Genomic DNA, 25340 nt, shown 5'->3' with positions numbered 1-25340 from the left:
AAAAATTTTTTTTTTTTTAATGAGACAGAATCACACTCTGTCGCCCAGGCCGGAGTGCAGTGGCACGATCTGGGATCACTGCAACCTCCACCTCCCGGTAGCTGGGATTATGGGCTCACGCCACCACGCCTGGCTAATTTTTGTGTTTTTTTAATTATTATTATTTTTAATTGTATTATTATTATACTTTAAGTTTTAGGGTACATGTGCACAATATGCAGGTTAGTTAACATATGTATACACGTGCCATGCTGGTGTGCTGCACCCATTAACTCGTCATTTAGCTATAGGTATATCTCCTAATGCTATCCCTCCCCACTGCCCCCACCCCACAACAGTCCCCAGAGTGTGATGTTCCCCTTCCTGTGTCCATGTGTTCTCATTGTTCAATTCCCACCTATGAGTGAGAATATGCGGTGTTTGGTTTTTTGTTCTTGCGATAGTTTACTGAGAATGATGATTTCCAATTTCATCCATGTCCCTACAAAGGATATGAACTCATCATTTTTGATGGCTGCATAGTATTCCATGGTGTATATGTGCCACATTTTCTTAATCCAGTCTATCATTGTTGGACATTTGTGTTGGTCCCAAGTCTTTGCTATTGTGAATAATGCCACAATAAACATACGTGTGCATGTGTCTTTATAGCAGCATGATTTATAGTCCTTTGGGTATATACCCAGTAATGGGATGGCTAGGTCAAATGGTATTTCTAGTTCTAGATCCCTGAGGAATTGCTACACTGAATTCCACAAGGGTTGAACTAGTTTACAGTCCCACCAACAGTGTAAAGTGTTCCTATTTCTCCACATCCTCTCCAGCACCTGTTGTTTCCTGACTTTTTAATGATTGGCATTCTAACTGGTGTGAGATGGTATCTCATTGTGGTTTTGATTTGCATTTCTCTGATGGCCAGTGATGATGAGCATTTTTTCATGTGTTTTTTGGCTGCATAAATGTCTTCTTTTGAGAAGTGTCTGTTCATGTCCTTCGCCCACTTTTTGATGGGGTTGTTTGTTTTTTTCTTGTAAATTTGTTTGAGTTCATTGTAGATTCTGGATATTAGCCCTTAGTCAGATGAGTAGGTTGCAAAAATTTTCTCCCATTCTGTAGGTTGCCTGTTCACTCTGATGGTAGTTTCTTTTACTGTGCAGAAGCTCTTTAGTTTAATTAGATCCCATTTGTCAATTTTGGCTTTTGTTGCCATTGCTTTTGGTGTTTTAGACATGAAGTCCTTACCCATGCCTATGTCCTGAATGGTAATGCCTAGATTTTTGTGTTTTTTGTAGAGACAGTTTCACCGTGTAGGTCAGGCTGGTCTCAAACTCTTGACCTCAAGTGATCCACCCACCTTGGCCTCCCAAAGTGTGGGGATTACAGGCATGAGCCACCGCACCTGGCCAAAAATAGTTTCTTTTGAATTATATACATATATACTCATACCGTGTAAGAAATGCCAAATAGTCTTTAGTACAATGTAGACCTAATGAACTGTGAGATTTCAAAAAGTAATTTTCATGGCAGTGTGGACAGAGATTAGAGTACGGAGAGAGACTAAATTTGGGAGAGATAAGTAGGTTATTGTACTATATATATATATTTTTTGAGATAGTCTCACTCTGTCACCAAGGCTGGAATGCAGTGGCGTGATCTCGACTCACTGCAACCTCCGCCTCCGGAGCTCAAGGGATTCTCCTGCCTCAGCCTCCCAAGTAGCTGGGATTACAGGTGCCCACCACCACACCTGGCTCATTTTTGTATTTTCAGTAGAGACAGGGTTTCACTATGTTGGCTAGGCTGGTCTCGAACTCCTGACCTCAAATCCGCCCGCCTCAGCCTCCCAAAGTGCTGGGATTACAGGCGTGAACCACTGTGCCCAGCCTGTACTAATTCTTATGAGAGGAAAAATGCTTTTAGGATTTCTGGAATTTCAGCAAATACATTTTGACTCCAGCAATCATTATAGAATCCTGCTATGGCTTCTACAATTAACAGGGCTTTGAGTTCCTTTTCTTCACTAGAGTCAATTCAAGAAACATTTATTAAGGCCGGCACAGTGGCCCATCCTGGGCGAGAGAGTGAGACTCTGTCTCAAAAAAACAAAAACAAAACAAAAAACAATAAAACCAGAAAGAAAGAAATAGTACTGTGGGGAGTGCAAAGCAATAGAGAGCAAGAAGCGCCAGTCTGCAGGGAGACAGGTATCAGGTTCAGTCATGAATAATGAGGTAGCAAATGTTTAGATCTCCGACAATTTGGCGAAAAAAAAAATGGTATTTTGGTGCAGTTCCTTTCCTTTCATTCCCTTTCCCTTTCCCTTTCCTCTCTTTCTGTCTCCCTCCCTCCCTCCTTCCCTCCTTCCCTCCCTCCCTCCCTTCTCTCTCTTTCTTTCTCCTTTCTTTCTTTTCCTTCTCCCTTTCTTTTCCTTCTCCCTTCCCTCCCTTCCCTTCCCCTCCCCTCCCCTTCCCTTCCCCTCCCTTCCCTTTTCTTTCTTTTTTGACAGAGCCTTGCTCTGTTGCCCAGGCTGGAGTGCAGTGGTGTGATCTTGGCTCACTGCAACCTACACCTCCTGGGTTCAAGTGATTCTCCTGCCTCAGCCTCCCGAGTAGCTGGGATTACAGGTGCATACCACCATGCCCAGCTATTTTTTTGTATTTTTGGTAGAGATGGGGTTTCACCATTTCGCTCAGGCTGGTCTCAAACTTCTGAGCTAAAGCAATCCACCTGCCTCAGCCTCCCAAAGTGTTGGGATTACAGGCATGAGCCACTCTGCCCAGCCTCTAAGAATATCTTTCTTTTCTTCAAAACTGTGGAATTCTTGGGTGTCCAAACCCAATGAGTGTGTTCTTAATCTGGGACAATTCACTCTCTGCCTTTGTGTTAATTCTGAGCCTTGCTGTCTGGGGAATGGTGGCAATTGCCTTCTCGTTTTCAAGGACAGGCAGGGTTCTATGAAGGCAATGTAGGAGGGTAAACATGTAGCAAAGCTGGGGGTGGAGGGTTCCTGGTCACCACAGCCACAGTACTTGCAAATGAAGTGAACCCATTCATTTATTTTGAAAACAGTTGATTTTGAGGTAATGTCTTGTTAATAACCAATGCTATATGATTGTTTTAGAAAAGAAACATTTTGGCCAGGCGCAGTGGCTCATGCCTATAATCCCAGCACTTTAAGAGGTGAGGTGGGTGGATCACCTGAGGTCAGGAGATTGAAACCAGGCTGGCCAACATGGTGAAAACCCGTCTCTATAAAAATACAAAAATTAGCCGGGCTGCTCTCATAAAGTTTACAGTTTAGTAGAGAGACAGAAGTACATAGTATTTCATTTGCTAATAAAAGTTCTGAAGAAAAATAAAGTGATATAAGGAAAAAAGAGAATGAAGATGGTGGTAGGGCTACTTTACATGAGGTGGTCAGCAATGTTCTTCCAGGGAATATGACATTTGAACTTAAAGAAAGTAAGGTGTGAACTTTGTGGGTTTTGGAGGAAAATGTTCCAGTCAAGGATTTAAAAAAACACAAAAAAGAGCAGTATGGCTGGAGCAGAGTGAGCCAGAGGACAGAGATTAGTGATGAAGTTAGGAAGTGGGAATAGTGGTTTTTCTTTTTTTTTTTTTTTTTTTAATTTGGATGATGACTCAAATACTTTATACTATAATCACATACATATTCTTAAAACTGAAAGAAAACTTTCGTGAAACATTTACCATTTTTATTTGCTATGCATTCTAATATTTTTTATTCAATTCAATATTAAATATTCAATTCGATTTTATTTTTAAGAAGATACTGAGTGCGACCCACTAAATTAATTTCATGACCCATAAATGAGCCATGATTCATGGTTTGGAAAATTCTGATAAGGCTTTGTTGACCTGGTAGGATTTGGATTTTATTGAAAATAAAATAAGGAATTATTAGATATTTTTAAGCAGAGAAGTCACACGATCTGACATATTTTAAAAGAATTATTTCATCTGTTTTATGGATAGCAGACCTTGTGGGTGGGTGGGTGAGGGGCAAAGGTGGAAGCTGAGAGATGCGACCATTCAGTTCTTTCTATAACTTTACTTAGCACCATTAGTATTCATCAAACATCTTTTATCACATGTGCTAAGGATACAAAAATAACAACTAGCTTTTATATAGAAGTTTTATAGTTTGTATTAAAATGGATTAACACATGCAAAACTTGACAGAATTGGTGCTCAGTAAACTTCAATTTTCTCTGTCCTTAAGCCTTAATGGAATCTTCTCTTTGGCTGAACAAGGTTGATCTGAAAAGAGTTAAGTTTCTCTATAAATCTCATTTTGTTGTCTAATCTTGGCTGGCCTCAGGCTGTGTTCCTTTGATGCCACACTTATCTTCTTGTATCTGCACCTGCACAGCCAATGTCCTCTGACTCAGATGGCATCTCCGTGGTGGGTCAGGGCTTTCTGTCCTTGATAAAATGGCTCGAGGCACATGATAATTTTGTTATTGCTGCTGATAGCAGAGAAACCCTTAATTGCGTACATATTGCTCCTGAATACATGTAGCTAATGAATGTGAAAACTGCTTTTTTAAGGAGAAAAGTTTCTTTGGCAAAGAAGAGAGAACAGGGAAAAGCTCCTATGGAACTCTTTTAACCCAGAGGGTGCTTGATATTTTCTGTTTCTCATGATGTACCTTTCCTCTTTCTTCACTGTGCGCTGTTTTCCTGAGAGGCTGACTTCTATAAACTTTCCCAAAGGCTGTCTTCCCCTCTGGTTTCAGGTTGGGCTTGGCCAATGGGAGGCACCTGTGGAGATCTGATCATGAGAGGGGAATGGGTTTTGGGTATTTACTGCTCCAGCTTCCTTTTTGTTGGGTTGCCACTCATTAGTTTTGTCTCTCTGCTAAAGGTCATAACTTCTTTCTTTCTTTCTTTTTTTTTTTTTTTTTTTTGAATTTTTAGTAGAGACAGGGTTTCACCATGTTGGCCAGGCTGTTCTCGAACTCCTGACCTCAGGTGATATGACAGCTTTGGCCTCACAAAGTGCTGGGATTACAGACGTGAGCCACGGCACCTGGCCCAAAGGTCACAACTTCTTCTTTTTTTTTTTTTTTTTTGAGATGGAGTCTTGCTCTGTTGCTTAGGCTAGAGTGCAGTGGTGCGATCTCGGCTCACTGCAACCTCCACCTCCTGGGTTCAAGTAAGTCTCCTGCCTCAGCCTCCAGAGTAGCTGGGATCACAGGCGCCCACCACCATGTCTGGCTAATTTTTTGTATTTTTAGTAGGGACGGAGTTTCACCATGTTGGCCAGGCTGGGCTCGGACTCCTGACCTCAGGTCATCTGCCCACATCAGCCTCCCAAAATGCTGGGATTACAGACGTGAGCCACTGCGCCCAGCCAGGTCACAACTTCTGAGGGGGCAGCCCTCTGTGACAACTACAGCTTTTCTTGGTGGATTCTAGTAACTCTCTCTGACCTTTCAGACTAAAGTGTGGTAATGGTTCCTAGTTGTTCTTGGTCCCAGGGAGATGCACCAGCCTTTGTTTCTCTTAACACTGCCTACTCCTTTGTAAAAAAATGTTTTATTGAACTCTGCTCAGTTGTTCCATTTGGTACCTGCTAGTCCCATGACTGGATACACAGAGGTTCCTCCACAGGGAGAGCTGGATGGGAAAGTATACAACTTTTTTACTCAAAATACTTAAAACTGTTTAAATATTAGAGACAATTTTGTCTTAAAGTAGCAGAAAAGGGGATTCTCAAATTAGTCTATCCGTTCGTCTATGGCCATCAACACATGAATACTCATGGCCTATATGCACTTATTCTAAGCAGAACTGGTAGAATTACTTTGAAGAGAGAGTGTTTTATATTAAGCCTTAAATGTCTGTGTGTATATCTACAACCAGGCAGAAGTTCCTTATAAAATTATTTCAATTGGCAAAAGTAGTAGTTGGATGTGATTGAATAAGATACTTCTAGTTATGAGACACATTGAATACTAGTTCACTGTGAATCACAGATATTCAATGAGAAAGATTACTGGTTACAGGCAGCATGCAATCATATTTAGAGCACAGATTTTGGAGTGAGACTTCCTGGGTTCAAATCCTGCCTCTGCTATTTATTAGTTGGGAGACTTTAGGCAACTTGGTATCTCTGTGCTTCAGTGTCCCTGTCTTAAAAGAAGAAAAATAGAAGTAATTAACATAGTATAGCTATAAGAAATAAATGAGTTAATTCATCTAAAGCCCTTAAGATATTGTCTGTTGCTAAGTATTTGATTACTCTATTTGTATTATCCTGAAAGTAGACAGGAAGTTTCTGGGACAGAGGCTGATTATTATTATTTAGAGCAATAATTTTATTTGTTATTTACCACCCCCCCAACTTTCCCCCTTCTGCGATGATAAAAGAGCCAGATGGACAGGCTTATACATGGGGGTGTTTGGATTTTACCATAGGAGAGAAGCCCTAGAAGTACGAATCTTGGAGCTTATAAAGGAAAGAGATGTCCCTTCATTATTTGAGAAAGGGAGAGATACTTTTGCTCCTTACAATAAAGAAGTTCTCTTTGGAATAGAAGGGTAAAGAGCATAGATTTTTATCTTTTCAAATGTAAGTACCTGTCTCCAAGGGAAGATAAGACAAATGTCTTTAGGTTTACAACTCCTGGAATGTCATTATGGCTTTGGGTCTCATCTTTTCCTAGAAGTGTAAACATGTACCTCTGGGGAGGTAAATCTTTTACTATCTATTCAGTAATCTTTTGGGTTTAAGGCTGTTCTTTAACCTAAGTCCCAGTAAAATTTTTCTAGAAAACTCTGTGGAGAAAAATTTATTTCTTTTTCTTTTTTTTTTTTCGAGACAGAGTTTTGCTCTGTTGCCCAGGCTCCAGTGCAGTGGTGCGATCTCGGCTCACTGCAAGCTCTGCCTCCCGGGTTCATGCCATTCTCCTGCCTCAGCCTCCCGAGTAGCTGGGACTACAGGCGCCCACCACCACGCCTGGCTAATTTTTTTGTATTTTTAGTAGAGTCGGGGTTTCACTATGTTAGCCAGGATGGTCTCGATCTCCTGATCTGGTGATCCACCTGCCTCTGCCTCCCGAAGTGCTGGGATTACAGGCATGAGCCACCACGCTCAGCCTAGAAAAATTTATTTCTGACACCTGACACATAGCAGCCCTATCTATATAAATGTCAGTTACCAGGATCTTGTGAATGAACAGAAGGCATGGAAATTGGAAATTGCAGGTAACTTTTGAGGTTTATTTCTATCTGGGAGTTGTTTGATAAACTTACTGGCATTCTGTGTGCTACATTAATGCTGTTTCTTTTCTTTTCTTTTCTTTTCTTTTCTTTTCTTTTCTTTTCTTTCTTTCCTTTTCTTTCTTTCTTTCTTTCTTTCTTTCTTTCTTTCTTTCTTTCTTTCTTTCTTTCTTTCTTTCTTTCTTTCTTTCTTTCTTTCCTTCTTTTTCTTTCGAGATGGAGTCTTACTCTGTCACCCAGGCTGAGTGCAGTGGCATGATCTTTGCTCACTGCAACCTCCCCCTCCTGGGTTCAAGTGATTCTCCTGCCTCAGCCTCCCGAGTAGCTGGGACCATAGGTGCCCACCACCACGCCCAACTAATTTTTGCATTTTTTTTTTTTTCAGTAGAGTCGGGTTTATAACATGTTGGGCTGGCTGGTCTTGAAATCCTGACCTCAAGTGATTCGCCTGCCTCAGCCTCCCAAAGTGTTGGGATTACAGGCATGAGCCACTGCACCCGGCCAATGCTGTTTCTTAATGAAATTCAAAACTTCTGAAAGTTTGTTGCAGAATCCAAGATAATTTACAGTCATAATAATCAGGAATGTAAGATGTTACATTTAGTTAAAACTAATCACTTAACATAAATGATCTAATTTAAAAATTTTGGCAATTTCATAAGAAAGATACTTAATATCTATATTTTACAGAATGGAAAAATAAAGCTCATGGGGATTAAGTAATTTGCCAAGGTCATACAACTAGTAAGTGGTAAGGCTAGAATTCCACTTCATATTTATATGACTTCAAAACTCATGCTCTTAACTGCTGCAGTTGGAAGCAGAATTTGTTTCTTCAATGGGAAACACGTAGAAGTCCTCCATTCTCTCTGCTGATAGATGTCAACATCTGGGGATCAGAGGTACTGTGAAATACAATGCTCTTTCTCTTCTGCCTGGCCCCAACCAACACTCAGGTTTTGGCTTTGTGTACTGAACCCAGTCAGGTACATTGGCCAAGGCTTGGCTTTGAACGGCCTGAATGTGGAGTCAGAAAACCTGGCTTTACTTTCTAGTTCTACTACTTAATAATTTGGTGACTCAAGGCAAGGTAGTTATTGTCTCTCAACTTCTGATTATGAATCTGTAAAATGGGGATGAAAATGCTGGTGTTGCCTTACTCATAGGGCTCACAGGGTTATTTGTGAAGATCAAATGGGATAATGTATATCAAAGCACTTTGTAGACTACAAAGTTTTAGAAGAGTAAGGTATTATTTACTCACTAGTAGACATATTTTGCCAGGCACTGAGTTAGTTGAAGGCAATAACAAAATGAATAATACATGATCATTCAGGTTGCTTTTTAAACAGCTCTTAATTATAAATCATATGTGGTAGACAAGGCACCCACCAAATACCCATATCTTTAACTTAATCATACATTTGTTCAGGATGGCAATGTGTCTGACCTCGGGCAGTGGATCATAGTTTGTTCACATTGACATGGCTCCCCTGTTGTCTGATTTTCTAACTCCTTTGCATTTAAAATTCTATATGTATTTGTTGGACTCTTGGCAGGGAACACGATTTCACTCCGATGATAAATTTAAACGATTTTAGGCTGGATGCAGTGGTTCATGCCTGTAATCCCAACACTTTCAGAGGCCGTGGCAAGCGAATCACTTGAGGCCAGGAGTTTGAGACCAGCCTAGCCACATGGTGAAATCCCATCTCTACTAAAAATACAACAATTGACCAGGTGTGGTGGTGCATGCCTGTAATCCCAGCCACTCAGGAGTCTGAGGCAGAAGAATTGCTTGAACCTACGAGACGGAGGTTGCAGTGAGCCAAGATTGTACCACTTCACTTCAGCTTGAGAGACAGAGCAAGACTCTGTCTAAAATAAATAAAATAAAATAAAAGATTTTAATGATGAATCCACTTATGGAGATGTGGCAGGGTTAAAGATATCAATGAAGCACCCAGAGACCAGCTGTTCTCACCCCAAGGCCTGACAAAGCAAGAGATGGAATGTTACCAGAGCCCAGAGAGGCTGGAGCTTTGGAGAAGGGTGTCTAGAAGAAGCTGTAGTGATGGAGGACATAACCAGTCCCAGAATTCTGCTGAAATGGGACAATGGGAAGGAACAAGGAAGAAATTCCCTGATTTCACTCAACACACACCCTCCAATCTTTTTTCACATCTCTTGTTTGACCTGACCAGAAGCCATAAGGCAAAGAAGCTCACCATCTGACATCATTCTGATCAATAAGATGTAGGGAGAAGTCTGTTATAGGCATTTCCGGGAAATTTTGGCTTTCCTGTTGAAAGCTGTCAGGTATGGATGAACAGTTCCCTTTATTCCTCCTTTCCTTCCGTCCATGAATGAGGATGTGATGACCTGAACAGCAACTATATTGCAATCATGAGGCAATAGGCATGAAGGCAAAGGACAACATGCCAAGTGTGTTGGAGCAGAATGATAGGAGGAGCTTGGGTCTCTAGTGGCCTTGTTGAGCAGTTGAGTCAGCTCCTGTAATCCCTGTCTTCAGACTTTTTTTTTTTTTTTTTGAGATGGAGTCTTGCTCTGTCCATGGAGTTCAGTGGCACAATCTCAGCTCACTGCAACCACTAACTCTACCTACTGGGTTCAAGCGATTCTCCTGCCTCAGCTGCCTGAGTAGCTGGAATTACAGGCGCCCGCGACCACACTCGGCTAATTTTTGTGATTTTAGTAGAGATGGGGTTTCACCGTGCTGGCCAGGCTCGTCTCGAACTCCTGACCTCAAGTGATTTGCCTGCCTCAGCCTCCCAAAGTGCTGGGATTACAGGCGTGAGCCACCACACCTGGCCCAGATTTCTTGATTTTTAAGAAATGTTTGAGTCTGTATACTTTCGGCTGGTCCAATTCATATATAATATAGCATAGTTCTTTCATAGATTTTGTTTATATTTGTTCTGAGGAGATACAATAAAATCTCTTATTAAAAAATAGCCAAAATAGTGAGAGGAAAGGATTTTATCAATGAAGGAAGTAAAAATATGGCATCTGGGTTCATATAGTCCCAATATTTAAAAAAGTGAGACTTACATCCAAATACCTTATTGTTACTAATTTTGTCACACTTTTCCCACTTGTAATACCTGCTTGTTAATTGTCTTCAGTTAGACTGCAGACTTTGTGCTAATGGGACCATGCTTTTCTCTGACTGCTTAACTGCTGAAGCCTCATGTAATGTCTAGCAAAGACTTGGTTTTGAGGTCAAGAATTTGCTGTAATTTTTTCTTTTTAAGAGATGGGGTCTTGCTATGCTGCCCAGGCTGGCCTCAAACTCCTGGGTAGCTCAGGAATACCTCAGCCTCCTGAGTAGCTGGGACTATAGGTGTGCACCACCATGCCCAGCTGCTATAATTTTCTTAATGAACAATTTTCTCCATCATAGTTTCTTAGAGAAAATTTCATCTTATGAGAGCTGAAACATCAGGGATCCTGACTTCTCTATGAGCCATGAATCTTTGAGGACATTTCTTTGGATGTGAATGAAGAAATGGGAGCACCTAATTTGCAAGCTAGTTCTGGGTCACAAGATTGTCTATCTAGAAGTTGTTGTGAAGGCTGTGCTGGAATGTCCTGCTCATTTAAAAGAATTATGCCTGGTCGGGTGCGGTGGCTCATGCCTGTTATCCCAACATGTTGGGAGGCCAAGGCGGGTGGATCACTTGAGGTCAGGAGTTCGAGACCAGCCTGGTCAACATGGTGAAACCCCGTCTCTACTAAAAATACAAAATTAGCTGGGCATGGTGGTGCACGTCTGTAGTCCCAGCTACTCGGGAGGCTGAGGCAGGAGAGTTGCTTGAACCTAGGAGGCGGAGGTTGCTGTGAGCCAAGATCGCGCCATGGCACTCCAGCCTGGGTGACAGAGTGAGACCCCATCTCAAAAATAAATAAATAAATAATAAATAATTATGCCTGTATTCATTCATTTGTCCAGTTCTGAAAATAAATACCTTATATTCCAGCCACAAAACTAAAAGTAGCTTTACTTAAATAAGGAGGAGGATGCAAACTGGAACACAAGCAGCATTTTAGTAGGGAAGAAGGTAGGTTGGGGAACCTGCTTTATTGTGCAAACGTTTTATTTTTATGAGGTGTTATTAATAGTAGTGTTTGGTTAGAAGAAAATAAACACCTACAGCAACTGGAATGTTGCTCTCAGCATGAGGAAAATCACAAATATAGCTGTTTTATTTTTAATGACAATTTACTTTTGTGATAAAAACAGCGTAATTTAATTATATATTGAATTAAAATAATTATGCTAGATTTATTGTGTTATTTTTTTGAATACTGGGATATATAGATAATTAGGTGCCTATTAATAGATTTTTTTTTAAATCAATAACTTGAAGAAAATGGGTTTCTAGTGTTGGCTACAATTTTATGTAAACTGATTATCTTAGATTGATTCTTAGATGTGAGCAGAGTTTTGAGGGAGCCAGAGTATATTTAACATTTTGGTAATTTGATTATGATAATAGTTCTCTGGTCACAAGAAGACAGCGTCCCTGTTCATAATCTTATTTTAACTAAACTACCCACAAGGAGAAAACAGATTTATAATAATTTAGTCACCATAAAACCTCTGAATTGCTGGGAAAAGGCTTAGAGAGTATAAACTGAAGAGAACTGATTTGACTGGCAAACTACTGTGAACTATTTTTATGCTGTGTATTTGTTTTCCAAACATTTCAAATTAGCACATTAAAAAATTGAGAATCTGTACTGAGACACTTTATATTGTGAGGGCAGATCAGGAATAGCCTATTTTTTCTCCTATAATCTGCCTCGGCTTATATTTTTAGTTTTCCAGCACCTGAGTAAGGAAAAATACGAGTTTGAGGTATAGCAATGACCATGATGTTTATTATCTCGGGTGGAAAAAGTAACTATGAAAAAGAGGGAGGCCGGGCATGGGGGCTTATGCCTGTAATCCCAGCACTTTGGGAGGACGATGTGGGTGGATCACCTGAGGTCAAGAGTTCAAGACCAGCCTGGCCAACATGGTGTAACCCCATCTCTACTAAAAATACAAAATTAGCCAGGTGTGGTGGCACATGGCTGTACTCCCAGCTACTTGGGAGGCTGAGGCAGGAGAATTGCTGAACCTGGGAGGTGGTGGTTGCAGTGAGCCGAGATTGCGCCATTGTACTCCTGGGTAACAAGAACAGAAACTCTGTCTCAGGAGAAAAAAAAAAAAAAAGGGAAAGGTCTGTAAATTTCCGGGTGTCAGTCATTAGTTAATTATTTATTTGATTGTCCTGAATTGCCATATGAATATAAAAGGACATTAGTTGTGTCCAAGATATCAAGGATGAAAAGACAGGACACATTGATTTTATGAGCTGTTTTATGCCACAGTCATTCAGAATGTCAAGAAAATAGTTTGTTCTTGACATACACTTAATAAAGGAAAATTTAAAACCAATACCTGGGCCAAGTGTGGTGGCTCACACCTGTAATCCCAGTGCTTTAGGAGGCCAAGGCAGGTTGATTACTTGAGGCTAAGAGTTCAAGACCAGCCTGGCCAACATGGCAAAATCCTGTCTCTACTGAAATACAAAAATTAGCCAGGCATATTGGCACCACACCTGTAGTCCCAGTTACTCAGGAGGCTGAGACATGAGAATTACTTGAACCTGGGAGGTGGAGGTTGCAGTGAGCTGGGATTGTGCCATTGCACTCTAGCCTGGGCAACAGAGCGAGACTCTGTCTCAAAAATAAATAAATAAATAAATAAATAAATCTAAATAACTTTATGCAGCCTACAGTTACCTGGGTTACACTCAGGCACAAGGAAAAATGGCAAACACTTCGTTTGTGTGTGTATATGAAGTTGGTAGAGGGCGGGAAGTAGTTGAGGGTTGCATAGTTCTAATATCAATTTTATAGCATCTCTTTAGACTATAATTGCGTTTATGGAGTTTAGCAACTCCCAGTTGGATCAGCTTAAATTTAATTTATATTAGAATTGCAGAATTCCAAAGGGAAAAGCAAATCTCTAAGGATCATAAAACTTGGATGCTAGGAAGTTAATATCTTTTATGAAATACAGTGTGAAACAACCACCACTCTTCATAATTTGGAAAAATGTGTGCTATCACAGTCAATGACCTGAAGGCACTGCCACCTTTTCAAGTATTTTCTTATCATGTCAAGTTTCTGAGAATTGTGGTCCTTTCCCTTGCATTAAAAAAAAAGTTTTTAAATTCCATTTTTAATATTGAGTAATTTTAGATTTACCTGCAGTTGTAAGGAATAATACAGAGACAGATCTTGTGTACCCTTTACCGAGTTTCCTCCAATGGTAGTGCCTTGCAAAACTATAATATAACTGAGTATATACACATATATAATATAACTATTTATATAATACAACTGAGATATTGGAATTAATATAGTCAAGATACAGTATATTTCTTTTTATTGTTTTTATTTTTATACAGGTGGGGTCTCACTATGTTGCCCAGGCTTGTCTTGAATTTTTGGACTGAAGCAATCCTCCTGCCCCAGCCTCCCAAAGTGCTGGGTTTACAGCCATCAGCCACCCACCAAGATCCAGTATATTTCTGTCACCACCAGGATCTCTTGTGTTGCCTTTTATGTATACCTACTTCCCTTCTCCCTTCCCCCGCTCCCTAACTTCGACAACTGATTTATTCTCCATTTCTATAGTTTTTTCATTTCAAGAATGTTATATGAATGGAATCAGTATGTAACCTTTTGGGATTAGCTTTTTTCCCCACTAAGTAGTATTATCTGGAGATTCATTTAAGTTGTGGCATGTATGAATGTCCAGTCTTTTTTTTATTTCAGAGTAGTATTCCATGGCATGAACTTACCAAAATTTGTTTAATCCATTCACCCAGTGAAAGGTAGCTGGATTGTTTCCAGATTTTAGCTATAATGAATTAAAGCTGCTATAAGCATTCATGTACAGGTTTTTGCATGAACATTGGTCTTTATGTCTTTGGGATAAGTGCCTAGGGATACAGTTGCTGGGTTGTACAGTAGTTGCATGTTTAGCTTTTTAAGAAACTGTCAAACTGCTTCTGCAGAGACTACCATTTAACATTCTCAATAGCCTTCTGTGAGTGATACAGTTTCTCCATATTCTTGCTGGCATTTAGTGTCACCATTTTTCATTGTAGCCATTCTGATAGGTATGTAGTGATATCTCATTGTGCTTTAATCCGTAATTCCCTGATTGGTAATCATGTTGAACATCTTTCCATGTGCTTATAGCCATCAGTAGAATGTCTTATGTCTTTTATCCATTCTGGAATTGAATTGTTTATTTTTCTACTGGTGAATTTTTTTTCTTTTTCTTTTTTTATGGAGATAGGGTCTAACTCTTTTGCCCAGGCTGGAGTGCAGTGGCACATCACAGCTCACTGCAGCCTTGAACTCCTGCACTCAAGAGATCCTCCCACCTCAGCCTCCTAAACAACTAGGACTACAGGCACGCAGCACCATGCCTGACTAATTTTTAAACTTTTTGTAGAGATGGGTTTCACTATATTGCCTAGGGTGGTCTTCAACTCATGGCCTCAAGAAATCCTCATTCCAAAGTTCTGGAATTACAAGTGTGAGCCACTGTGCCTGGCTTTTACTGGTGAATTTTGAGAGCTCTTTTTATATTCTAGTTATTAGTCCTTTCTTGGATATGTATTCTGCAAGTACTGGTTTATAGATTTCACTGTTTTGTATGTGTGTGTGTGTGTGTGTGTGTGTGTGTGTCTGGTTTTGGTTTCAGGACAATACTAGCATTATAAAATAAACTGGGAAGGGTTCCTTACTCTTTGATTTTCTGGAAGATATTGTGTAGAATCAGTGTAAATTCTTCTTGAAATATTTGGTAGAATTCTCCAGTGAAAATATCTAGGCCTGGAGATTTCTTTTATGAGAGTCTTAAAATTATGAATTCAATTTCCTTAATGGTTATAGGGAGACTCAAGTGATCCTTTTCATATTGGATGAGTTTTGGTAGTTTATTTATTTTATTTTATTTTTGAGGAATTTATTCATTTTATCTAGATTTCAAATTTATATGTATACAGTTGTTTGTAGTGCTCCCTATTATAGTTTTGATGTCTGTAGTGATATCCCCTATTTCTGATATTGGTAATATGTGCCTTCTTTCTTATTTTCTTTGTCAGTATTGCTAGAATTTTACTCAGTTTTTCTTTCTTTCTTTCGTTTTGCTTTTGAGACAGAGTTTTGCTCTGTTGCCCAGGCTGCAGTGTAGTGGCATGATCTTGGCTCACTGCAACCTCCGCCTCCCAGGTTCAAGTGATTCTCCTGCCTCGGCTTCCTAAGTAGCTGGGATTACAGGCATGCGCCACCATGCCCGGCTAATTTTTTTGTATTTTTAGTAGAGATGGGGTTTCACCACGTTGGCCAGGATGGTCTCGAACTCCTAACATCAAATGATCTGCCTGACTCGGCCCCCCAAAGTGTTGGGATTATAGGCGTGAGCCATCATGCCTGGTCAGTTCTATCAGTTTTTTTCTTCAAGTATTTTGCCACTTTGTTGTTTGATATATGCACATTTGGGATTATTTCTTCTTGGTGGATTACTTTTTTATTATTACATAATTTATTTTTATTTTATTTTTTACTCTTTATACAGGGTCTCGCTTTGTCACCCAGAATGGAGTACAGTGGTGCAATCTTGGTTGACTGCAACCTCTGCCTCTGGGGTTCAGGTGATCCTCCCACCTCAGCCTCCTGTGTAGCTAGGACTACATGCTTAGCTATTTTTTTTTTTTTTTTGGTAGAGACAGAGTTTTGCCATGTGCATAGGCACATCTTGAACTCCTGGACTCATGAAATCTGCCTGCCTCCTGCAGTGCTGGGAGTTTACAGGCATGAGCCACTTTGCCCAGATTATTATTATTTTTTTGAGACATGGTCTCACTCTGTCACCCAGGCTGGAGTGCAGTGACACAATCGCAGGTCACTGCTGTTCGGCCTCCTGGCTGGAGCAATCCCCTCACCTCAGCCTACTGAGTAGCTGGGTCTACGGATTGGCACCACTGCTCCTGGCTCATTTTTTATTTTTTGTAGAGACAGGATCTCATTGTGTTGCTCAAGCTGGTCTTCAACTCCTAAAATCAAGTAATCCTCCCATCTTGACCTCCCAAAGTGTTGGGATTACAGAAGTGAGCCACTGTACCTGATTGAAGCCTACTTTAAGTGATATTAGTTTAGCCACTCTTCTTTTGATTAATGCTAGCATGCTATTTTTTCTATCATTTTACTTTCAAACTATTTATTCTTATAAATAGGATATAGTTGGCTTATGTTTTCTTAATCCACTATGCCAATCTCTGTCTTTTAATTGGGGTATTTAAACCAATTACATTTAATAGAACTATTGATACATTAGGAGTGAAGTCTGCCATTTTGTTTTTTGATTTTCTGTTTGTACTTTCTGTTTTTTGTGTCTCTATTTTTCTTTTCCCTGTCTTCCTGGGGGTTACTTGAACAATTTTTAGAATTGTATTTTGATTATCTATAGTATTTATTTCTTATTTTTATTTCTAAGTTTTACTTTTCTGTATATATAGTATTTTCGTGTGTATCTCTTTGTATAGACATTTGAGGGAAAGGTAATATGTTATATATACATAACTTATCTCAGTCTACTAATGTCATCATGCAAATTGTTTACTCCTATAGGTAAATGGGTATCTCTTTTTTTAACAGAATTTATTTTTTAGATAATTTATAGGTTCATAGCAAAATTGAGCAGAAAGCACAGAGTTTTCATATAACCCATTCTCATATATACTGCATATATACAGCCTACCCACTATCAACACTGGACATTAGAATGGTATATTTTGTTACATCTCTTACTGTTTTAAGATTTTTTTGGGGGACCAGGCACAGTGGCTTACATCTGTAATCCCAGCAATTTGGGAGGTCGAGGTGGGCAGGTAACCTGAGGTCAGGAGTTTGAGACCAGCCTGGCCAACATGGTGAAACCCTGTCTCTACTAAAAATACAAAAATTAGCCATGTGTGGTGGCACATGCCTATAGTCCCAACTTCTAGGGAGGTTGAGGTGGGAGGATCGCTTGAACCCGGGAGGTAGAGGTTGCAGTGAGCTGAGATCACGCCACTGAACTCCAGCCTGGGCGACAGACAGAGCAAGACCCTGTCTCAACAAAACAACAAAAAATTTTTTTGGTCTTTCATTTGCAGAAATTTGACTATTATATGTATCTTCCTGTGGGTTTCTTTGGGTTTGTACCATTTGGGTTTCACTCAGCTTCTTGAATTTGTATGTTCATATCTTTTTTGTCAAAGTTGGGAAGTTTTCAGCTATATTTATTTCTTCAACTACTTTTTCATTCATGCCCTCTTTTTTCTTTCCCTCCAGAACTGTGAGGACAAGAATGTTAGAACTTTTTTTATAGTCTCACAGTTCCCTAAGGACTTGTTCATTTTCTTCCCTATTTTCTCTCTATTGTTCATATTGAATAATTTCTTTCTTTTTTTTTCTTTCTTTTTTTGAGACGGAGTCTCACTCTGTCGCCAGGCTGGGGTGCAGTGGCTCAATCTTGGCTCATTGCAACCTCCGCCTCCCGGGTTTAAGCGATTCTCTTGCCTCAGCCTCCTGAATAGCTGGGACTACAGGCACGTGCCACCACACCCAGCTAATTTTTGTATTTTTAGTAGAGACGAGGTTTCACCATGTTGGTCAGGATGGCCTCGATTTCTTGACCTGGTGATCTGCCTGCCTCGGCCTCCCAAAGTGCTGGGATTACAGGCATGAGCCACTGTGCCTGGCCCCGACTGAATAATTTTTTTTTTTCAGACAGAATCTTGCTTTGTCGCCCAGGCTGGAGTGCAGTGGCATGATGATCTTGGCTCACTGAAACCTCTATCTCCCAGGTTCAAGTGATTCTTGTGCCTCAGCCTCCCGAGTAGCTGGGATTACAGGTGTGTGCCATCACGCCTGGCTAATTTTTGTATTCTTAGTAGAGGTGGGTTTTTGCCATGTTGGCCAGGCTGGTCTTGAACTCCTGACTTCAAGTGATCCACCCACTTCAGCCTCCCAAAATGCTGGGATTACAGGCACGAGCCACTGTGCCTGGCCAGACTGAATAATTTCTATTGTTTTATCTTCCAGTTTACTTATTCTTTCCTTTGTTCCCTTTATTCTGTTGTTTTCTTTTTAATCATTTTTTTTACCTGACTCACCAAGCCACATTCTGCTGTTGAGTTCATCCACTGAGCTTTTTGTTTCAAATACTGTATTTTTTAATTCTAAAATTTTAATTTGATTTTTCTTCATTTTCTTTATCTTCTATTTCTTTACCAAGACTTTTGATTTCTTTGCTGAGATTAAAAAAATTTTTTTCAAGCATGTTCACAATTGCTCATTGAAACATTTTTATGACAACTGCTTTACAATCTGTGTTAGGTAGTTACATTATGTATGACATCTTTTTTTTACATTCCTTTTGAGATCTTCCTGGTTCTTGGTATGATGAATGATTTTCAATGGAAACCTGGACATGTTGAATATTGTGTTTTGAGACTCTGGATTTTATTTAAACTTATGTTTTAATTGGCTTTTGCTGATAACCCTGCAGCAAAGGAAGGCGCTACCACCTTTTTACTGCCAGGTAGTCTGTGAATTCTGGCTCCTAACTAGGCCTCTAATGATACCTCCCAAACTGGAAGGAGTATTAGTACCTATCAGAGGCCCAGCTGAGCTGGAGAGTGCTGAACTTACAGGTGTTAGAGTAGCCAGTTAAAGCCAGGAGCCAAAATGAAAGTAACAGTCAAGCCTTTAATCACTTTCTGTGTTGGTATATGCAAGAGGTTAAGGAGAAAGTGCTGACTCCTCTGGCTGTTTTGCCCCATGGAATGGCATATCAGTTGAGGGCCAGCTGGATCAGCACAGAGATGGTGTTGTCTCACTGCCAAACAAAAGGCTACTGTAGTTTTATGGGCCCAGGGGGCCGGGGGGATGCAGAAGGGAAAAGTCTAGGAGTGAAAAAGTACAAAGTACTTTTTTTTTTTTTTTTGAGACGCAGTCTCGGTCTGTCGCCTCCGCTGGAGTGCAGTGGTGCGATCTCGGCTCACTGCAAGCTCCGCCTCCCGAGTTCACGCCATTCTCCTGCCTCAGCCTCCAGAGTAGCTGGGACTACAGGAGCCTGCCATCATGCCCAGCTAATTTTTTTGTATTTTTAGTAGAGACGGGGTTTCACCGTGTTAGCCATGGTCTCAATCTTCTGACCTCATTATCCGCCTGCCTCAGCCTCCCAAAGTGCTGGGATTACAGGTGTGAGCCACCATACCAGGCTTTTTTTTTTTTTTTTTTTTTTTTTTTTTTTTTTTTTTTTTTTTGGGAGGGAGTTTCGCTCTTACGCCCAGGCTAGAGTGAGGTGGTATCATCACTGCAACCTCTGCCCCCCTGTTTCAAGTAGTTCCCCTGCCTCAGCCTCCCGAGTAGCTGGGATTATAGGCGTCCACCAACACGGCCGGCTAATTTTTGTATTTTTAGTAGAGACGGGTTTCACCATGTTGACCAGGCTGGTCTCGAACTCCTGGGCTCAGGCAATCCGCCCGCTTTGGCCTCCCAAAGTGCTAGGATTACAGGCGTGAGCCACCCTGCCAGGCCGAAAAAGTATCAAGTACTTAAGGCAGAGTGCAGCAAAGTGTCTTCAAGCTTCCCTGGTAAGGAGGCCTCAAAATGGAGGAGCCCCAGCTAAGAATGCAGATATACATAAAAGCATGGCTGGTCAGGGAGGATTGAACCCTTGGCTCTAATTCCCTTCAGAGTTTGCAGTGTATTGGTTGTGCACCAAATCTGGTGTGGGGAGACCATCTTTCCTCCTTGAGGCCTGCTAGGTAAAGCCTTCGTAATCGTTTATGGTTGTGCCTAAAAAAATCAACACATTGGATTTTGGCTGCAACCAGACGCCTTATTAGTGCTTTATGATAGTAGACACTTTTTCATATTCCTCACACTAATGACAACTAAAAACCCTGACCATTATATATAAAACAAACATAAAACTCTGGAAGGTAGAAATAAGAAGGTTGACTGGCTAGGAACCTCAGGACTCAAGGAAAATACAGTGATAAGATCCCTGGATTTTCTTTTTGTCTCATGTATCCCAGATTTATTGCTGAAGAAGTCAGTGCTCCTCACTTCTACTGACACCATGGCAAGGGTGGCCTCATTACCTATGGGTGATAGTGAAAGCCCTGACACTCTGCTGGGCATCCTCTGGCACCACCCCAGTGGGGAAAGGAAGGTTGCTTCATTACTGCTAGGCTGGGAGTCAAAGTTCCCCTCATGCTGTGAAGAGGGAAGTCTAGTTTTCTTTGCTGGCACGGTGGGGGTGGGGCACAGCTTTTTCTGTGGGTTTGTTTAGAGTAGCTATTGTCTATAAGGTTTCTGCCCTGCTAGGCTGCCCCTTTCCTGGTTTTTTGGCTAGAAGTAGCTGGCTTTTGTGGGGGCTTTTTAGTCTATACACTTTGGTGTTTCCCAGTTACTGACTTCTTCAGCTCTAAATCTGGAATACATGAGACAAAAAGAAAATCCAGGGATGTCATCACTGTATTTCCCCTTGAGTCCTGAGGTTCCTAGCCAGTCCGCCTTCTTTCTACCTCCCAGAGTTTTATGTTTGTTTCATTTGCTTTTTATTTTTATTTTTTATTTGAGACGGAGTCTCGCTCTGTCGCCAGGCTGGAGTGCAGTGGCGGAATCTCGGCTCACTGCAACCTCCGCCTCCTGGGTTCAAGAGATTCTTCTGCCTCAGCCTCCCAAGTAGCTGGGACTACAGGAGCGCACCAACACGCTCAGCTAATTTTTGTATTTTTAGTAGAGACGGGGTTTCACCATGTTGGCCAGGATGGTCTCGATCTCTTGACCTTGCGATCCACCCACCTCGGCCTCCCAAAGTGCTGGGATTACAGGTGTGAGCCACCGCACCTGGCCTGTTTGTTTTATATATAATATTCAGGGTTTTTAGTTGACATTACTGTGAGGAATGTGAAAAAGTGTCTACTACATAATTCCAGAAGTCAACATCTTTTTCTTTGCATTTTTAAAATTTAAACAATCAAATTAATAAAATACTAAAAATTAAATGGAAACATTTATGGGAAAGGCAATTAGCCTTATCTCACTTCTGCATACCTCCAGTATTATTTCTTAAAGAAGAACACTGTAATCATGTGTTTCCAGTTGTTTGGGGGTTTATCTCCATATAGTTAAATATGGTAATGTACTTATTCATTATTTTAAAATTTATAACCTCTAAACATTATTCTGCTGTGTTACAAAATAATTTAATTTGGTTGCATTGTCCTCTTTATTCTTCTCTCAATCTTATTGGCATATATCATTAATCTTCAGTTCTATGGTTTACCTGTGTAGCATCAAGTTATAGTCACACTGTCACTGTATCTATACATGGATGGGTCTTTACACTAAGTACTATGAGTCCTCCTTTCCTTTCTTCCAGCATTTTCCTCCTCCCTCCATCTGACAACCTCTAACAGCTACACATTTACTTTACTCTTTTCCCTGCCACACTTTTACATAGTTTTATTTTAAAGCAATCTTGGTGTACTCGGTTTATATGATACCAGTTTATATGTGTTAAGCCATAGTATAGTTAGGGTCCAGATAGGAGACAGAAATTACATCTGCTATTTAAACAGACAGAAGCAGAAGAATTAATAACAAAATGTAAAGTTATTAATCAGGTAACTGAAAGGGTAAAAAGTGAATTCTAGTCATCAAGGAGATAGCAACTATAGGAAGCAGCTATCACCCTTAGGACTGAGAGAATAAAGAGAAGATAGGAGAGTTAGTAAAACTTAGAAACTTAGAGGAAGGGCCCTGAAAAGCTGAAACTCAAACTTCAGAGTTGAGGGCACTGGTGCTGGTGTGTTGTGGGGTGGGGGTATGGGTGTGATGAGCCTGGTTTTGTGAATGTTAGAAAAATTGCACACAAGATTCAGCTGCAGCCATGGAAAGGAATTGCTGCAGCTGGGGGGAAGAAGTATTAATAGGATGATTCTCATAGGAATGGGAAACAGACAAGAAGAAGTATGTCTTTTCTTCCTCCAGCCTGTAGTCTCTCTTCAGTGCCTTCAAGGGTCAGGTGGCAAAGCAGAACTGTGGTTTGTAGGGTGCCAGGTGCAGCATCACAAAACAGGTTAAAGAAGAGGGATTTCCATGTTGTTTCACATCTGTTTTTGATAAGGACTGTGTATTTTATTTCTTTTCTGTAAGTTCGACTTTCGTTAAATGTGTGTGTGTGTGTGTGTGTGTGTGTACATACATATGTATGTACATACACTTTTAAAGTGTATATATATATTTCTTTTAAATATCTACTTAGGCCAGGTGCGGTGGCTCATGCCTGCAATCCCAGCACTTTGGGAGGCCGAGGTGGGCAGATCACTTGAGGTCAGGAATTCAAGACCAGCTTGGCCAACATGGTGAAACCCCGTCTCTACTAAAAATACAAAAATTAGCCGGGCGTGGTGGTGGATGCCTGTAATCCCAGCTGTTTGGGAGGCTGGGGTAGGAGAATTGCTGAGGTGGAGGTTGCAGTGAGCCAAGACTGCGTCATTGCACTCCAGCCAGGGCAACAGGAATGAAACTCCGTCTCAAAAAAAACAAAAACAACAACAACAAAAAAACTATGTATTTTATAAATTGTGTGTACAAAATACATAAACCACTCTATTTATGAGCAGATTCAGTTTATTTTAACCCATATTCAGCTACTCTAAGAATTTTAAATTTCATTTATTAGTGGCAGCCTGTAGGGAGTAAGGAGTGCAAAGAAAGACTGAGTTACTTGAGGGAGGATGTGATACAGGATATCAAAGATATATCTATATATTCATTATTTCTCAGTTTGGCCCTCAATGCCATCTGATGTTTCCTTGGACCATTAACTGCTCACTTCTATAGGGAATGCTTAATTCAAACATGTATGCCCGTGTTGGCAGAAGATTCTTTGTCTTAGGAGCATTTGAGACAGTAGCAATGAATCGTGCTGCCTCTAAGTAATTTTTTTTTCAGAGATGAGCCATGGAGCCAACCATTAGCTGAATATTCTGAAAAAAAAAAAGCAAAAAAAAAAGCATCTCCCTTGGAAATGGAAGGGAAAGATGAAATCTGAGATAAAGATGAAATAATCTAGGTTTATGAGCTGTCTTCTCTTCTCAATGGTCAGGAAAACAGGGAATAAGGACCTTTTGCTTCATTTTGGATGTTTTATTTTATTTAATCTATTAGATCAATGAATGGCCTCCTCCCAATGCATGCATTCTCCATGTATTTGATGGTATTAGATGTAAGAATAATAAATGCCCGGGTGAATCTAAAGAGAGTTCACATAACGCTACCTACTCAACATCTATGGGAGTACCGAATGAAAATGTGCAAAGTAAAATGCATCAACAATTTAGAACTTCATGAAGTAGCAAAGCATAATGATTGGAGAAGCTCTTTTGACTTTTAGGCAGTGGAAGTCGCTCTAGCTATCTCAAGAAATGAGGGTTGATATGGTTAGGCTTTCTGTCCCCACTCAAACCTCACCTTGAATTATAGTCCTCATAATCCCCATAATTCCCACGAGTCAAGGGAGAGACCAGGTAGAAATAATTGGATCATGAGGGCGCTTTCGCCCATGCCATTCTCATGATAGTGAGTTCTTATAAGATTTGATGGTTTTGTCAGGGGCTCTTTCCCCTTCCCTCGGCACTTCTCCTTTCTGCTGCCTTGTGAAGAAGGTGCCTTGCTTCCCCTTTGCCTTCCACTATAATTGTAAGTTTCCTAAGGCCTCTCCAGCCATGCTGAACTGTGAGTCAATTAAACTTTTTTCCTTTATAAATTACCCAGTCTTGGGCAGTTATTTTTATTTTTTATTTTTTGAAATGGAGTCTCCCTCTGTTTCCCAGGCTGAAGTACAGTGTCTCAATCTCAGCTCACCGCAAACTCCGCCTCAAGGGTTCAAGAGATTCTCCTACCTCAGCCTCCTGAGTAGCTGGGATTACAGGTGCATACTAGCATGCCTGGTTGTATTTTTATTACAGACAGGGTTTCAGGGTTTCTCCATGTTGCTCAGGCTGATCTCGAACTCCTGACCTCCTAGGTGATCCACCTGCCTCAGCCTCCCAAAGTGTTGGAATTACAGGCGCGTCCCACTGTGCCCTGTGGGCAGTTCTTTATAGCAGTATGAAAATGAACTAATTGAGGGGGATATTTTATTTTATTCTTTATTTTAAAAAGTCTCCATTTTTAAATTTTTAAAGTTTTCATTTTTAATTTAATTTTTTTTAAAGGGCGTCTGGCTCTGTTGCCCAAGCTGGAGTGTAGTGGCATAACCTTGGCTCACTGCAACCTCTGCCTCCCAGGCTCAAGCAATCCTTCCACCTCAGCCTCCTGAGTAGCTGGGACTACAGGCCCACACCACCACACAAGGCTAATTTTTGTATATTTTGTAGAAATGGGATTTGGCCATGTTGCCCAGGCTGGTCTTGAATTCCTGAGCTCAAGTGAACTGCCTCTGAAAGTGTTGGGATTACAGGCACGCGCCATCGCGCCCAGCACATTTTCTATTTTTTTAAAGCTTTATTAAGGTATAATTGATATATAAAAAGCTGCACATATTTAATATGTACAATTTTATTAGTTTGTGCATATGCAAACACTGGTAATAGCATTACCATAATCAAGGTAATAGACATAATCAACACCTCCTAAAGTTTCATTGTGTCCCTTTGGGTTTTTTTCTAAAGAATACATATCTACTCTCTTAAGAATTTTGAAGACTACAATATTATATACATTATGATGTATAGCACTTTTTCATCTAACAAAACTGAAACTTTATACTTATTGAACGACAGGTTCTCAAGGAAATGGGGGGATATTTTACAGATGTATGTGACAACAAAAATATCAAGGATCTCATAGGATTTCTTGAAAGAATAAAGACTAATATTTTTTTTTTGGCACCTCAGGTGCATCAGGCCCTGTGCCACATAGTTTATACC

General features: G+C 40.5%; 1 protein-coding gene across 3 annotated transcripts in view, besides 2 other annotated features; it reads left to right on the top strand.

Annotated features, from left to right (window-relative positions):
- Positions 1-25340, top strand: part of LGSN (lengsin, lens protein with glutamine synthetase domain) — a 297657-nt gene that overhangs the window by 134072 nt on the left and 138245 nt on the right. The gene's annotated exons all lie outside the window — the stretch shown is intronic.
- Positions 19129-19178: an enhancer, noted in NCBI's record as "active region_24716". NCBI's record gives its function as "activates an Ori minimal core promoter by ATAC-STARR-seq in GM12878 lymphoblastoid cells {active_cell/tissue: GM12878}" and the evidence as "EXISTENCE:reporter gene assay evidence [ECO:0000049][PMID:35858748]".
- Positions 20438-20732: a silencer, noted in NCBI's record as "tiled region #2763; K562 Repressive non-DNase unmatched - State 24:Quies". NCBI's record gives its function as "represses a minimal TATA promoter and a strong SV40 promoter by Sharpr-MPRA in K562 cells {active_cell/tissue: K562}" and the evidence as "EXISTENCE:reporter gene assay evidence [ECO:0000049][PMID:27701403]".

This window comes from Homo sapiens, chromosome 6, assembly GCF_000001405.40.
Source record: "Homo sapiens chromosome 6, GRCh38.p14 Primary Assembly".
In the NCBI taxonomy this organism is placed as follows: Eukaryota; Metazoa; Chordata; class Mammalia; order Primates; family Hominidae; genus Homo; species Homo sapiens.
Note: the sequence above shows the minus strand (reverse complement) of the source record. Positions and strands in the feature narration are given on the sequence as shown.